General features: G+C 36.9%; 1 protein-coding gene across 2 annotated transcripts in view; it reads left to right on the forward strand.

Moving 5' to 3' along the window:
* The window catches only part of CDC14A (cell division cycle 14A), a 175277-nt gene extending 160715 nt beyond the window's left edge, over window positions 1–14562 (forward strand). For both annotated transcript variants that reach the window (NM_001319210.2, NM_003672.4), the window contains one exon: window positions 12536–14562. Coding sequence is in view for 1 of the 2 variants with exons in the window: in NM_003672.4 (NP_003663.2) it covers window positions 12536–12565 (30 nt within the window). In the remaining variant the exon portion in view is untranslated. The remainder of the gene's footprint in view (window positions 1–12535) is intronic.

A 17864-nucleotide genomic window follows, 5' to 3' on the forward strand; every position in this document is an offset into this window, starting at 1 on the left:
ATCTTGTCCTGATTTTAAATAGGACATTTTTATTCGTCTGCTTTTGTCGCTATTAAGAAATACCTGAGGCTGGGTAATTCATAAAGAAAAATGGTTTATTTGGCTCACAATTCTGTGGGCTGTACGAGCATGGCACCAACAACCTGCTTGGCTTTGCGTGAGTCCTCAGGAAGCTTACAATCATGGTGGAAGGCAAAAGGGGATCTTGTGTATCACATGGCAAGAGGGAACAAGAGAAAGGGAGGATGTGCGAGGCTCTTTTAAACCACCAGATCTCATGTGAACTCATAGAGTGGGAACTCACTCATTACTGGGAGGACAGCACAAAGCCATTCATGAAGGATCCACCGCCATGACCCAAGTACCTCCCACTAGCCCCACCTCCAACACTGGAGTCACATTTCAACAGGACATTTGGAGGGGATAAAACATCCAAACTATATCAATATTCATTTATTAATTCATATTAATATTGTTAAATATTAACTAGGTGTTAATATTTATTACAGTTAAAGGTACTAGCTTTCTATCCTCTTGTTGTATATTTATGTTGCTGTGGTTTTTCATCCTTCCTCTTTGTTGTGGCATTGCTTTAGATTTGATGTAAGTTTTCAGCTAAGGGATACTAACTACATATCAAGAACATGAGCTCAATCTCAGTATTGAACCACATCTTTGGCCTTCATTCAACATTGCGATTTTTTTTCCCTTCCCAAGGGGACCTGAGAATGCTACTTGACAAAGCATCAAATTGTTATGAGGTCAGCATGGTTCGGATGATGCCTTTAAATATGCACATAAACTGTTTATATGTTTGCAGTATTTGTAGATATATGTAACTATAATTTAAGTTTCCAGTGTTAAATAGTAGTTTATGTTACTTTTCTGTATAAAACCTGTCAGCTGTTTTTGACTGTACATTTGAAAAGACTTGAAAACATAAAACTTGCTTTAAGTGATAAGGTTGATCAGAAATATATAATAGGTAAGGATTAATTTATATTTTCAATGTATTAGAGTTATGAATCACCCTGGTTGTTCAGCTTAATTTTATACTTTCTTATGTAGTGTCAATAATACTACTAGGTCAATAGAAAAGAGTCTTATTTTAATCTTGCATCTTATTTTTTTGGCTAGGAGTAAAAGAAAGCAAGTGCTTTTTATATACCTATAAAAGCTGGCTAGGTGCAATGGCTCACACTATAATCCTAGCACTTTAGGAGGCTAAGGCGAGAGGATCACTTGAGGTCAGGAGTTTGAGACCAGCCTAGGCAATACAGAGAGAACCCGTATCTTAAAAACTGAAATTAAATGAAATGGAAACTTATCCAATTAATAAAGCTATAGCTAATATTTATGTAAGTGTCTAGCTTGAGCCTAGTATTTTTTTGGTAGAGCAAGGTGAGACAAATACATACAAGCCATTGTCCTCCACTAGATTAAAAACTTCATGCAGGCATCTTCTGGTAGAATTGATTTGCTCTCATTTTTCTGGTCCTTTCTATTTTTGCACTGCTGCCAGAATCCACTTAAAATACCAGTTTCCTAATGTAAGCCTTTGTTTAACAGCTTCTGTGGTTGAAGAATAAGACCAAATATTATAAGATTTTTCCTCTTTTTCCTGAAATTCTGTAGTTTCACCATAATATAGCTATATACAGATTCATTATTATTTATCTTGCCTGGCATCAGTGTGTACTTTCAATCTTAGGGCTGCTTTTTTAGTTATGGAAAATTCTCAGCCATCATTCTTCTTTTTTTTTTTGTAGAGAGAGTGTCTTGCTATGTTGCCCAGGTTGGTCTCGAATTCCTGGCCTCAAGTGATCCTCCTGCTTTGGCCTCCCAAATTGCTGGGATTACAGGCTTGAGCCACCACACCCGGCTCCACTATCTTTTTGGATATTGCTTTACTGCCTTTCCCCTTATTTCCCTTATTTTCTCCTTTTGCAATAGCCCCACAATTTTTTTTTTTAATAGAAGGAGTCTCACTCTGTTACCCAGGCTAGAGTGCAATCTCAGCTCACTGCAACCTCCACCTCCCAGGTTCTCCACCTCCCAGGTTCAAGTGAATCTCCTGCCTCAGCTTTCTGAGTAGCTGGGACTACAGGTGTGCACCACCACGCCTGGCTAATTTTTGTATTTTTAGTAGAGATGGGGTTTTGCCATGTTGGCCAGGATGGTCTCAAACTCCTTACCTCAGGTGATCTGCCTGCCTTGGCCTCCCAAAGTGCTGGGATTACAGGCATAAGCCACTGCATCCAGCCAATAGCCCCCAAACTTATATTGGAGACTTTCAATCTGTCCTCAATATATCTTACCTTCTGTTTTATATTTTTCAGTTCCTAAGCTCTAGCTGTATTCTGATTGAATTCCTCCTATTATTTTCAATTCGTGAATTTTCTTTAATGTGTCCATTCTGGAGTATATCCCCCAATCCACTGACCTTTGATTTCAGGGGCTATATCTTTCTTTTCCAGCATTTCTAATTTGATCCTTATGATAGCCATCTGTTATAATTTGGGCCCGCCTGTTTTTGTTTTATGGCTTCTTATTCTTTTTATATGTGTGTGTATATATATAGATATATATATATATTTTTTTCACTTGAAGGATCTCAGGTGATAAGCCATTTTGATATTGCTTTGCTATTTGCATTTCATCCTGTGAGAGTTTGCCTTGTGGTTGCATACTTCGTCAGTTCTCATAATGTTCATTTGCCTTGTGTGTTAGGGAATTTGGTTGGTAGGTTCAGATGGGATGGGAGTGTTGGTGTGTTTCTCTCCTCTTTCTCTCTCTGTTTTTCCCTCCTCGTCTGCTGGCCTTCTTGTTGGCTCTGCCCGATCATCTAGGCCTTTCAGTCTAGAAACAGACCTTAATGACCCAGGCTTCCATCTCTTGGTGAGCTCCTCCCAGGCTTTCTTCTCAGGCAGGGATGTGGCTCCATCTCAGCCCTGGCCCGAGGGCAATGGTCCCAATTTCTCTCAGCCTCCTTCCCCATGTGGGAGAGCCTGACTCCACCCCTGATTTCAGGCCAGGGGCTTTCGACCTATGTACCCACATGAATGGAACACCCAGCCACTTCTGCAGGCTTCCAGCTGTGTAGCCAGAGTCCCACCACTGTCTTGATTGTTTCTGGGTCACAAAGATGTTGATCTTGCTTTTAATTTCTGCTGTGCCCTTTCTTTCTTCTTCATCTTTAAAAAATATTTAATGCATGCATCCAGAGGGTAGTTTGGAGTGTACCATCTCGACATGAAGTAGGTCCAGTCTCTGCAGCTTGCTGTTTAGTGCCTTTTTCAGCTTTCCCCAACCAGCTTTCCAAACTCATATCCCTCCACTCCTGAGCATGAACCTTCTGCTTCTGCCAGGCAGTTTCTTATGTCCTTGAACGTGCATGGCTCCTCCTACCTCTGTGCTTTTCTTACATGCTATGTCCCCAACTTGGTCTCCCTTCCTCCCTCCCTTTGCTTCTCACCTCCTTTCCATCAGGAGTTGGGCTAAGTCTAACCTCCTCCTCTGTGAAGCCTTCCTTAATCTCACCAGACCATAGCAATCATGATGTTTTTTGAAGTCATTCTGTTTGTATTGGTTATTGGCCTTCCTCATCCCTCTTTTGTGTTGAGAGTCACCTATCTTGTGGATGTGGGCCTTGAATCCCCACTGAATTCCTTGATTGAGGTTAGAAAATGTCTTTTATTTTTGTTATCTCCAAAGCATCTGGCATTGAGCTATGCTTACCTGTTTGATTGTGGGTATACTCAGTCCATACTTGCATCTTTTCTAATACTGTGTAGGTCATTTGTTTCTTCCAAAAATTTGAATTTTACTGTGTGTGCACATGTGTGTCAGATCTTTAACTTAGAAAGGCATATTTTTATTGCACCTTCCTCTTACACACACATACACATACATGTGGATGTGCATGCATGTGCAAAGAAGCACAGACACCACGTGCACATTGCTTGTAAAATCATTGGATTTGCCCGTAACAGAAACCTTTGGTAAATGACGCAGGCTCTCCTTGATAGTGAATGTCTAAACAACTCAAAGGTTGATATATGTGGGAGAGAACTGTTTTTATCAGTTTAGAAGTAGATATTTTTCTCTCTTGGGCAGACTGTTGTGAGTCCTTCAGCCTTCTGTTATGAAAAAGCAGTAGACTGTAAGAGAAAATCATGAAGTCTCAATTTGAAAGTGAGCAAAATAAGGTTGACCCATTCTATCTCATTTTCCCTTATTTACTCTTTAAGTACACATTACTTACTCTCTGGTAGCTCCTGAATCTTTATGGTTAAGAGGGGAAAGGCTGTGTTCCCATTTCCTATTAGGAACCTCGTTTCCATGCTCTCCTGTCTTTTGAAAACATCATCCAAGGATACTCATATCGTTTTGTCCTCATCACTGTTATCACCTCCCTTCATCCCTGGAAGACTTTTGCTTCTACTTTTTAGCTGCCTGGGCACTGCCAACATTCTGGACAACTGTAACATTTTTCTAATCATTGTCATCATCCACTGTTTCTTGAATACCTTCTATGTGCCTGGCATGGTATTAGGTACTTTATATCCATTATCTTATTTATTTAACCTGCTATTTACAGATGGGGAAATCAAGACTCAGAATGGCAATAACTTGCCCAAGGTGTCACAGTGATCTTATTTTAAACTTTCTTAACCTCAGTTATCTTTATTTTTGTTCACTTGAAAATTCATTGAATAAACCTTCTTATTGCTTAGCACATTGCTTCTGACATCTTGAATCCTGCCAGCCTCCTTTAAACATTTCCCCCTCCTCCTAACTCTGCTCCATGACCTCTTTCTGACCCTGCCTGTTTCCCCAGCCATCTCAGTTCACCTCTTTCCTTCTACAGCCTGCATAGTCATTTTTGCTTCCTTTTTCCAACATTCTCACTGCTACTTGGACATTCTGTAACCACTTGATTACCAGCCTCCAAAATTAGATCAATTCAACCATCTGTTGTATCTGTTCCTCATCTCTCTCCTGTGAGCACTGTTGGAGAAAATCCTATAACTTTGCCAATTGGCTCCATCTCAAATGTGTTTCTAATTTACCCGGCCCTTCAGTGCTCCTAATTAGTTGTTTTATCCCTTTTTGGCTCCTTTTCTCTTCCCCACCTGGCTGTTCCAAAACTTTTTAACATTTTTCACCAACACAACCCCTTCCTGATCTCCAGAGCCAGCTGACCCTGCTTTGAGATCTGCTAAGAACATAGAATTTATCAGAAGTAATTTCCTCTAACTTCCCTCTTCTCTGTCTCAAAGTTTATCTGCATCTGGACTCATCCATTTCTTCCTTCCCTTTTAATTCCAAAGAAACTCTACTGTTTTCCAATGATAACTCTACCTACCTGTACTGTTCTTTCCAGAATCTTTCATGAAGTTGCCCTAACCACTTCCTTCTCCTTTTGTATCTTCAGCCTCTTACCCTCCGTTTGCAGGTCTCCTCAACTGCAAATGTGCACATCCAAGTTGGTAGGCTGGTGGGGGCTGGGGAGGAGTCTTCCCTTGGCCCTGTCTTCCTCTCACAGTTTCTCCTTTATGGCCACACTTGGGGAAAGAGAAGCCTGCACTTCCCCCTCCCTTGTCTCTTTGATACTCCTCCGCTCTACAGCTGGGAGGTGGCCCCTCATTCTGGTGAAAGTCTCTCCCGCAGATTACTGCCGACTTCTTCAAGGCCAGATCTGATGGGCTCCTGTTAGTCCTTCTACTCCTAAGCCTGCCCCTTAATGATTGTCCTTACATTGGCTCTTTCTCTTTGGGTAACCTCCTGAGCATTGGACCTACACTCCCAGCTTCCTCTGGGTGTTACCTGGGATAGAGAGAATACAGGTTCCTTCCATTGCCAGCTCCTCTTTGGTTTCCTAGCCGAATAATCTCATCTTTATTCATCCAGTCATCCAAGCTAGACATTTGGAGTCAGCTTTGACACTACTTCTGCCTGCCTTTCCCTTGTCACACCAGTCACTAAGTCCTATCAAGTCTCCCTCTAAAATGCCTCTGTCCTTCCATTCTTACCACTGCTGCCTTAATTGGGGTCTTCATGAACTATCGCATAGCCCTTTCTGTCTTCCTGTCTCTTACCTTTAATCTTTCCTCTATACTGTTGCCAGTGTTAAATTTCTGAGACACAGAGCTAATCAAATCCTTCTCATGTTTGGCTTTGTTCAGTGGCTGCACTCTGCCTACTGGGTCAAGTCTGGCTCCCCTGGCTTGGCATTCAGGGTTCTTCCCTGTCGGGCTGTGTGCCTCCCTGCCAGCCTCCTCTCCAGCAGCTCTACCTGGCACGACCTGCCTTAAGCCTGAACCCTAGCACTTGCAGTCCACTCTGCTTTCCCTTGTTTCTCTGCTTGATTTTGTATTTCTTGACCTGGCTCGATAGTTATCTTTTTGATAAGCATTTGTGACCCATCTAAACAGAATGGCTCTTCCTTTCTCGACTCTCCTAGGAGCGCTGACACTCTCATATTATAGTCAGTTATACATGATTCTCTCTCTCCTCTGCTTTCCTTTAAGCTTCTCAGAAACATCTCTTGTTTCCTGAGGTTCCACAGTACAGTATAAGTGCCTAATAAATACTTATTGAACTAAAAGTCAGATAATGTATCTGGGTTCGTGAATGTTAAAGTGTTTAGGAGCCTGGGTCTCATTGTTAGCATATGAAGCACTAACAGAAAACAAACAAGTTTCCAGCTTTAGCTTTAATATACGGTAATCTGGGAGTTGTGTATTTTTTTTCTAGAAATGTGGCTTTACTAAAATAAGAGAAAATAAATTTTAACTGAGTTTGCATCAATATAATTTTGGTGTTCAGATGAACTGAAAACACTCATGTAATGGTTGGCTGAGTCAAGCTGGGTGTCAACAATCTGTCATCTAACAATTGAGCTCTTTGTGATTGTTGAAAAGCATATATTAAATTTCTCCAGAAAAAAGAATCTATTAAAAATCATGTAGGAAGGTGAAAGACTATTTTATATAGCATTATAATGAGCCCAAATTGGCTTTTTAAGTCTTGAAGTCCCTGAAATGCACAGAGAACACTATGGAAAAATGCACACACACCTTTCGAACCTGATTTTAACACAAACCTTCATCCTTTTATCTTAATATGATGCCAATAAAACCATACCCAGCTACATTTCATCTAGTGTTATTGGAGGAAATATGTATCATATTAACAGAGGCAAATTCTTTCAGTATTGTACATGTTGGGTACAATATACACTACTTGGGTGACAGGTGCACTAAAGTCACAGACTTCACCACTATACAATTCATCCATGTAGCCAAAAACCACTTGTACCTCAAAACCTATTGAAATAAAAAATAAAAAATACTTTCAGTATTGTGAAACCACAGTTATGGAAATAAGTATCAATGCACACATTTTATGTGTTAATTTGTGAGCAATACAAAAACTGGAAACTCTATTACAAAGGCTTAAAGAGACATAGGAGTACAGAGGCAGTTATGGGTGTATTTATTTTTCCCCAGTGTTGTATTTGTTCATTAAAACTTAAAACACTATAGTTATGTATATAAAATACCATGTTGCCAAGCATGTATTTTTTCCTTTAATTTCAATCACATTAAAACAAACCATTTTTATTTTAGGTTCTTTTTGCCTCTGTGGTTAGAACTTAAACCAGGGATAACTAGTACACTATTGTTTATTCCTTAAAGGACTGGGGAAAATGTAGGAAAGAAAATGTCAGTGTGGCAAAAAAGTCCATGAACATTTTGAATCAGGATTTTGACCTTAGTAGGATGCTAACATTCCAGGCCATTGGATCCTTTGGTTCAAGTTATTTGAACATTAAGACATCGTTACATTCATTTGCTGTCAAGGACCTTAATCTTTCATTATTCTTTATAATTTGCTGTTTTTGATAGCTAACATGTTTTATTTATTAACCATCTGTACAATATTTATATCTGTAATTATTAGACATGTTCCTGCCATGATTAGGTAACTGGGCTGTTTAAAAAAGAAACACCTCCAGAATAGCTAAAATTTTAAAGTTACTACCTACATCTGCCAAAACAGATTAGTAGCAGATTTCCAGAACAGAACAAATTGTCTTGATCTCCTTACCTAACACTTTGTTTTATGTCAAATCTTACTGCTTTCAGGGAACAAGACTTCTTGATGGAAGCTTATATTTTGACATAAAAATTTTGGGGGCTGCAAATGTAAGGCAATTTTATCCTTATTTTTCAGGTTGAATATTGCTACATTATTAATTTTATGGTATTCATACAATAAGAATACCACATATTCATAATAAACTTGATCTGGTCCTAACTCACTATAACTCTGTTGAGCTTACTAATTAAATGAGCTTGAATATTATATTTGAGAAATTAAAATCTCTTGGTTATATAAACAAGGGCTAACTTCTAAAATAATATTTGTACTTCAGGTATAAAAATTATTTTCACTTTCTTTATAACCATCTTCACTGTCATTGTTATAATTTATTTTGTATTTCAGATTCATTAATTCATTATTGTAACAACTAAAAACATTGGCCAATCAGAATTAAAACTTTAATCAACTCATAATACTTAAGCATGGATGTTCTTATAATGAAAATTTCTTTTAAATTTAGAATATTCCTGAAAATTCTTTGAATTCAGGCCTGATGAAAATCATTCAAAAATGTATTTATCTTTTAATGCAACAAATATTTTTTAATAATTTTTTTTATTCACTCAGAATCATATCTTGCCTAAGGTCATTATTTGTCTATGTTAGGGTGATAGAGAATGTTGGATTGAATATGTAGTGATCACAAGGCAAATGCTCGCTGTCTTGAGACATTAAACTATGGTAGCTAAGGGTTTGAGCTTTAGAGTCAGACTGCTAGGGTTCAAATTCCAGCTCCACCAATTCTTAATTACATGAATTGGGGCTAATTACTGCTTTGTGCCTCAGTTTCCTCATCTGTAAAGTGGGTTGTCTGAAACATTTAATGCGTGAATATGTATAAGATGTTTAGAACTGTCCTTAGCATATAGGAAGTACTCAAATATCTAGTTCAGAATAATTGATGTGTCAAGTAATATATCTAATTTGTTAAGAAGTTCAGCTAGTTGTATTTAATCTATTTTTGAATACGAAAATCAATAGCAATAATATTGTTCATGGAATTCAAAATGCAAATGCAATTTTACTATAAAATGTAATTTTACTATAAAAATTAAAAATGCCAGTAACTGGCTATAGTCTTTTCTGGGATATTAGTAATTTTACAATACATGGACATTTGGAAAACATTGTATATAGTTGGTAGTCCTACCTGTGACTACAAAAAAAGCATGAAGTTATGCTTTGTTACGATGTGTATTAGGTCCCACCAGGCACTCATCTGGCTTATCTATCTAACCTGTCTAAGATTTGAAATGGAGAGTACTTGTGTTTTTCCTTGAGGTTTCCTCAACTGTGGCTGAGTACAAATGACCCAGAGAGACCGTCAGCACAACCCCGTAGGATAACCATGTGATACCTGAAGTTTAAATATTCCTGTCATCCAACACTGTTGCTCCCTGAATAGAAAGGTCTCACAGTGTTAGTTATGCTTTTGTTAAGTGAATAGATCTTGGAGACTTGAACAATTCTCTTCTCCCCTTAGTGCATTTCTTTCTTTCTTTTTTTTTTTTTTTGAGACGGAGTTTTGCTGTGTCACCCAGGCTGGAGTGCAATGGAGTGATCTGAGCTCGCTGCAGTTTCCGCCTCCCGGGTTCAAGTGATTCTCCTGCCTCAACCTCCCGAGTAGCTGGGATTACAGGAATGTGCCACCATGCCCTGCTAATCTTTTGTAGTTTTAGTGGTGATGGAGTTTCGCCATGTTGGCCAGGCTGGCCTTGAACTCCTAACCTCAGATGATCCACCCGCCTCGGCCTCCCAAAGTGCTGGGATTACAGGTGTGAGCCACTGTGGCCCCCTTAGTGCATCTGTATTAAGATTTTTATTTTAGATTGAAAATGAAAGGAAGTTAATTTGTTACAAAATACTGATGTCAGAATAATTTGCTGAACCCTTTTTACTGATCTTTCATTTCACTTTCCTTTATACCATATAAAGAAACCATGGAACATGTTTTGTTTTGAGGACTTTGGTATTGTATTTTTATCCTCTAGTGCTTAATAGATACAACTTATGTTCAGTAATTATTTGTTGAATGAATTGAACTGGTGGGACAGAAGGTCAATTCGTTGGCCAAATGGTGTCATCATTTGTTTGCAGAGGCCTGCAGGGCCAGTTAGGCAACATAAGAGAGCAAACTAGGGGGTTGGAAAAGGAAATAGTGGGGCTTGTGGTGAGCTGTATCTGAGCCTAGATTAAACACCAGCCAGAGTTTTTGAGCTCTGTGGAAGTAAAGGCTTTGGATAGAAGACTAATGAATATATTCTCCATATGAATAATAGAAATCTTTAAAATGTTCTAGACTATTTCTGTTTTCCAGTTCACTGGGTACTGTGATTCACTAAATAAATATGTAAATAAATGAATATATATATGTGTGTGTTTATATATATAAATATATGCACACACACATATTTGCCCCTCTATATTGATGTACATATGAAATACTTTACCCTATAAAAAAGTTGGTTTAACAAAGGTCGCTTGTCTAATGTTTATTTGCTACATCTCTGTTTATTGATAATTGATGGAGCTTGCAAAAACAACTTTGTTCTAAGTTATATGCAGTTTGAAGAATTTCTGATTTCTGTTAGTGATAACATGCACAACTTTACTAATCGGAACAAAAGTAAAAGTTAAATATTCTCAAGAAAGCACTAGCTGAGCTACACACACACACATACACGCACAACATACCTTTGTGGCATTCTTATAGCTGGGGGACTTAACTGGCTCTGCCCTCTGACTGCTTGCCAGACTTAGAAGAAACCGAGAAAAAGCAGGTAGAAAAATGTTTATGCTCTAATTGCGAGTGTGGTAGCTGGCGTCCCTCAAGTGGAATGTATATGGGCTTCAAGGCTTTTGACCAACTTCACTGGACTTTCTTAGGGTCTTACCTCTTTTATTCGCACTGTGGGTTCAGGTATATTTATAGTATAGTGCTCTGATTCTTGATCATCTCACACCTATTTTGAAGTATTAGCATGAACCACATACAAGAAAGTCAATAGCCAAACCTTTTCCATTCTTCCTACAGCTCTTGAAACTGGCAGCCTTGAGAACCACCCATTTCCCTTACTACCTCTCACCTAAGCCTTTCCTGGTGCACGATGTTAACTTTACACTATGTATATTACTATTTAATGTCGACACCGCTGTCTTTTCATTTCACATCTGTTATGACATTGTGGCTTTCGCCCTTTGCGGTCAGGGACCATAACTCTTTGACATACTGTGTTAACAGGGACTTACTCAGGAACAGCCATTTGGCTGTTCATGGGGTGTAAAATTCACTGCAGTTTTGAAGCTGAGAAAAGATAGCTTGAATCCTTTTGTAAGTTCTTTGGAAAATGGACAGATTCTTTTTTACTGATAACCTATATCATCACCAAAATGGACCTGTCTTATAATTGACTAGACCTGTTAATGAAATGTTACAGACTAATTTGAGAAATAATTATTGGGTGGGAGAAAAGGGCATTTACTAGAAAATCAAGTAAACTTTGTTATCCTCAGGTATTTAATTGGAAGAATTGAGCAAAAAATTTGTTAATGTTTAGATTGATTTATGTTCCTTTTTCTAATCACTGTTTCCTGCTAAAAAAAATAACTGTTTGGCAAACTTTCTGTAACTCTCTATCTTTTCCTGGTTTATGTCTGTTGTCCCAGGCATTCTGATTACATATCCCAATCACAATCCTTTTATATGTTAGTATCTAATGTGATGTGGAAGAATTTGTATGGTTTACTTGAAAATTGCCTATTGTTTATTAAATTCCGACAGCAAGACTCTTCTGCATAAATGTTTTTGGGTCTTAAGATCAGATTTCAAGCTGGTAGTACTTCATTTCCCCTTAAGGGAAAGGATGTGTAAGATATTTATAAATTCAAGCATGCTTAAGGAATTTATTTAAATGGCTGCTAATTCTACTGCATTAGAAGCATGCCATTGATATGTACTGAATTAAATTTAAGGATATATCATCTCAAAGTATATTCTAGTAATCTTTAATTAGTTAAAAGTATCTTTTAATATTGTTAAGTAAAACTCATTAATTGTAGAAATGCTTAGAGATGAGTTTAGGCTACCTACCGATTTTTAAATTAAAACTTAATTTTTTAATCACTATAAATAAATTAGTAAACCTTTTAAAATATAAAGTTTTCTTACAATCACTTTGCGTAATTGAATATCTCATTCTTACCTAGCTAATGCTTTGTGTCTCCTGTCTTTTTGTTTCTGTTTTGGCTTAGTTTATTTCATTGATCTCTAAGCTGTCTTGTGTGGAAGGGAGAAGCTGCATGACTTGCTAGAAGTTTTACATGTGATGGAATTTAACCTCAGTTTATGTCTCTCCCTGCACAGTCCCTTCAGTCTGAATATGTTCATTACTAAGGCCTTGCCACTCCAGTGAAAGCTGTTCTTCTCTTAGACACAATTTCTTCATCTGGACGAGCAGTGGAGAGGGAAAGCAACTTCTTGCTGGAAGAATATCTCTGCCTTCTTACCTTAAATTAAAAAGAGCACTAAGATAACACCTTCAAGAGACTTGAAAACAGAAAACTGGTTAATGACTACTATAAATGCACTGAAACTATGTTTATGGAGATTTCCATACTTTTAAAGACAGTTTTAATGTTGAATTTGGTATTTTGAAGGGTTATTTTTAATGTATTTTGGTAATACATTTATTATTATATTTACATGTACAGTGTTACATTATATATGTATTGTGAACTTTAAAAGACTATTTTGATAAATTTATAAATATATAAAATTATGTAAAAACTACACTATATTTTGATTTAGATTTTCCTGCTGTTTGCTACCAAAAATTTGTATTTTAAATCTGTTTAGTTTTAGTATGGTTTTGTCTCTAATGAATAAATAATTCCTTCTTATTAAGAAGAAGTAAGGGAGAAAGTTTTTAGAAAGTGATTTTTATGCTCGCACTATAAATATGGCAGGTCAGTTCATTCTTTTGGGAAGTCAGTTTAGTTACACTGAGTTTATCCAAGTTTATCTCTACCAAGAGTATAATGGCATGGGATGGCTTATTTAGGACAATTCCCTTTCCTATTGTTTTTGTTGCTGAGCCAATTTGAGTTAGTTTTGCATCCTGGGGGGCTTTAAAATACAGCATGCAGTGAAAGATCAGAATTCACTGAATATTTCTTCTGAGAGCATGGTTTCATGGTTTTTCTCTATGAAATGACTCAATATTCCAAATGTTTTTTTTTCCTTCCTCCTTTCAAAAGAGTTCTTAACCCAATTAGGATATCCTGCTTTGGGTATGAGGTTGTTGTTGCCTGTAATCACACATGGTTTGACATCAGTTTTAAATCAATGGAGAGAAAAAACTGAAAAAGATGCTGCTAAGTAGTTCTCTGTATTAAAGGAGATATTTTTAAAACAGGGTACAACCCCCTGCTGCACACGCTAGCATATCTGGAACCTACTATGAAAATGAAAGGACCCTTATAGGTACTCACAGCCCTTTCATGTAAGTATGATCTGATATTTAGGTCTTCAGAAGCCTGTAGGTTTCATTTCTATGAGGAATCGAGGAGCGTTACATCCTGATATCCTTCCAGGCTGCTTAAGAATGGACTGCTTCGACACTGAAAGTGCTAGTTAAATGGATTCATATGAAGTGCTTTACTCCCAACCATTGAGTTATTTATAATGTATTTATTAGGGGAGGGTACCTTGAGTCTATTATATATGCTTCATCAAAACATCTTGTTCATGTTTTATGTTTTTAAAAAAGGCATTTGAATGAATGTTTGACTCAGGTTTGTTAAATTAACCTTCAGTAACTGCAGTACCAAAAATTACACTCAACTGATGAAAAAAACGAATTGTATGATTTAGGAATCAAAAACTAAAATAAGTGGAATTATGTATCTTTTCTAAAGTTAAAAAAGTAAAATATTTTATTATGAGTTATTATAAAAATTGGTTAATTGTATAGGAAGATGACAGTATTTTTTTCAAGTTATCATAAAAAGTAATTCAGATGACATTTGAGAAGTAGGGGAAAGGGAATCATGTTGACAGTTTTAGTTCTGTGAACACTAATTTGTGTGAAGCTATTAAAATGATTGTAAAGTTGACTACTGTAAATTTCCCATAATTATGTGTGTATATGTGTCATATGTATGTACATGTATATGTCTAAAAATTACTTTACACATGTGCCTACATAGACACACCAAGAAGTGGATGTATATAATATAGAAAGTATATAGCAAAGTAATTTTACTCTGATAATAAAAATTGTTTGACATGTATTTTGTTATGAATAGTTTATCTTCCAAAAGATATTTTGCTCTATTTTAAAGTGTAGAAGAATACACTGCTAATAAATAATAAAAGTTTTATTCAATTTACTTATTTTTTGGTGTTTATAATTTGAATTTTTGAGTTATCAATGTACTGAAGTCTCTTTATAATTTTATTTTTGGTTCAGTGTGGTCAGTGCCTTGAGTGTTTCAAGATCTCTATTCTGGATTTTAGTTTAGCTTTTATTGACTTTCTAGGTTGTGGCCATTGCCTGAAATACATGACAGTGAGCTCACAGAAACCTTATACTTTGAATTTCACAAAAATCATATAATGTTAGGTTCTTGCTTGCTTTCCCTTTATTTTTTTTACTGTCAATAAAATACTGATCCTGATCAGTGTTTTGGGTCCTGCTTAGTCATTTATGACTACTGATGACTATTGTGTGATTGATCACCAGTTCCTTTTGAAAAAGAATGCCATTTTTCCTAAATGAGAAATTATAGAAATCAGTTAGAAGAAACCTCACACCTGTTGGATCTATGCCCTGAAAAGTCAGTTTGGGAGGAAGAAGCTACACTATTTATTGGAGATATTTTATATAGTAAACTGGATCTCTTTGGGTTATGATGATTCTGAGGTTTTTTTTTCCTTAAATTTTTTTTTTTTTTTTTTTTAGAATGCAAAGGAAAGTTTGTGGGTGAGAAGGTAGTTTTACATTTGGAATTGGGATCTGCAAATAGCTGTCCTAACAACACTGCATGAAACAATTGGGGTACCAAGGTTTTCATAGGACCACATCTTAAAGAAGGAGATTTCTTATGAATTAATGAACCTGTTTCACAGGGCAGAAGGAAATCTTTTTTTGTACAGATTGGGTTTTTATGAAAAAGAAAGTAAAAAAAACAAATCAATTAGCTGGTTTCAGCAGATTTCTCACCTATTGAGTTTACCTGTTTCTTTTTTATCCTTAGATGTAAAATGATTTATAAATCTCAAAACACACCTGGGAAAACTATCTATGTGATTCAAATATAGCAGGAACATGAATTTACCAACTATACACAAATGTATTTTGAAAATTGTTTTTACTTCTATGCTTTCTTCAGTGACATGTTAAACCATTAATATGTTGAGTCTAATTAAACCAGTTGTTAGTATATAAGCTGAACAGGACTCCGTGGGCTTCATGTCATATAAGAAGTCTGTACTCGTTCCAAAAGTCATAAGGCAGAGTCCCCTTTGCAACACTTAGCAAAGCAAGAATTTGGTCACTGTATGTCTCCTCAGAAGATTAATTAGGGACAATTCCAATTACAGAAGTATATAATTTACAGCAGAAAACTCCTTTATTTACACATAGGTTGCATAGGGTTGACAACTATGGCATATAATGGAAAGTAGAAAATAATTGTATTAAGTTATTTTGAGCTGAATTGAAATGTTAATATATTCCCACCCAGTTCCCTCTCTATGGATTGAATTATGATAATCATATCAAGAAGGAGAAAAATAGCTTTTCTCAAGAATTTTAAACTTTTCTTTGCTAAGTACAAGTAGAAACTTACATTAAAAGACTAGTTTTAATGCGAAATGTATTTGGAACAGGTTTTAAGTGGACAAACATAAATTAGCTGAACTTCTCACTCTGCATGCCTCGTTTTAACCTGCACGCCACCAAAATCAAAGTAAATCACATCACCACTTGCGGTGTCTGCTTTGGTTTGAATCAAGTTGACCATGCATTTTTGAGAAGTTGTACTCCAAGTGAAGAATGGGGCATGGTAATAACTGTAGAAATGACTCTACCTGCAAATATTTACATTAAAACTTAAGATTTGGGGGTAGTAATCTATCAAATATGTAGTCATCCCTCCATATCCATGGGGGATTAGTTCCAGGACCTCTGCGGATACCAAAATCAGAGGATGTTCATGTCCCTTATACATAACGGTGTGGTGTTTGCATAAAACCTATGCACATCCTCCTGTATACTTTAAATCATCTCTAGATTACTTATAATATCTAATACAATGTAATACCATGTAAATCGTTATTATATTGTTTAAGGAATAATGACAAAAAACGTCTGTACATGTTCAGTACAGTAGAGATGCAATTTTTTTTTCCCTGAATATTTTTTATCCCTGGTTGGTTGAATCTATGGATGTGGAACCTATGGATATGGATGGCCAACTGTATTTTCTTTATTTATATTATGGCTGTCTTCCAAAAGGATCTGAAGTGGCTTCATAGAACCAAGCAGATGTACCATAGGGAGAGTAAATAGGGGCTTTGGACATCGAATTTCAAGACAACTGACACTGAGACTTGAAGCTGAGATAAAGAGGCCTCTCAGACATCACAGGAGATCTGTCCTTTCTTTCCAGACTGGGCATATTTATGCCAAACACACAGTTTTAGTCAATTCCAGGACTCTTCATTGGCACTCACTTTACTCAGTTTTGAAGAAAAGATTATCTCCAAGTGAGATTGCCAGTCTTGATATTCAGATCCCCAAAAATAATTATGTCGAGTACGTGGAAGGACAAAATTGGAACCAGAGATCAGATTACTATAAGAATCCATCTATCTATCTACCTACTACTCTCCTACCAACCTACCATATAACTGGGCTTTACTAGAGCTAATGTAAGTATAACATATGCCTTTTTGTATTGGGAAGTTAAATAAAACTTGGAAGACACAGGGGTCCCACAGACTTGAGAAGAAAGGAGCTGATCTTTGTAAAAAACAAAACCAAAAATGAATAAAACAATGGAGGAGAGGGAGCCATTTTTTAAAATCTAGGTTCCTTACAGGCAAAGAGATATTTTGTTTTAAATGGAAAAACATAAATTGGATACCATACTTCAAGAAGCATGTTCCAGGCAGTTTTATCAACTCTGGAAAGAGGTAACCAGTTAACTTTTCAAGCAGCTTGGGGTTGTAAAGTAATGTTGCATCTGCTGAGTGTGACCAGCAGGATTGGAAAGGGAGGCCTAGCTTTTTCTGATTTGAGGTTTTGTGTAATACTCACTTCCTCTTTCTCCCTTCTCCACTTTTCATACCAATGAGTTTCACAAGCATAGCCACCAATCCTAGACTTTTCCTGCTGCTTGAGGCCCAGCTGGTAGCTTACTTTACCATTTTGGTGCCTTCAATGACCAACAACTAAATGGCCGGGCACCACGTCAGATGGCAACACTGCACGAACTATACAGCTAACATCTGTTAGCAGAGACACTGGTGGCAAAATCCCTGGTCTCAGTCTCGTATCACATCCCCATAGAGCACCAGCCCCGGAGTTCTCTTTCTCTCATATTGCTCTGGAGGGTGAATCAGAGATGCTGGCCCTGAGATGGCTGCCCTGTCATGACAAGAAGTGGGACTGCTGAGTGCAACCTTG

The sequence above is a fragment of the Homo sapiens genome, chromosome 1 (genome assembly GCF_000001405.40).
Source record: "Homo sapiens chromosome 1, GRCh38.p14 Primary Assembly".
NCBI lineage: Eukaryota > Metazoa > Chordata > Mammalia > Primates > Hominidae > Homo > Homo sapiens.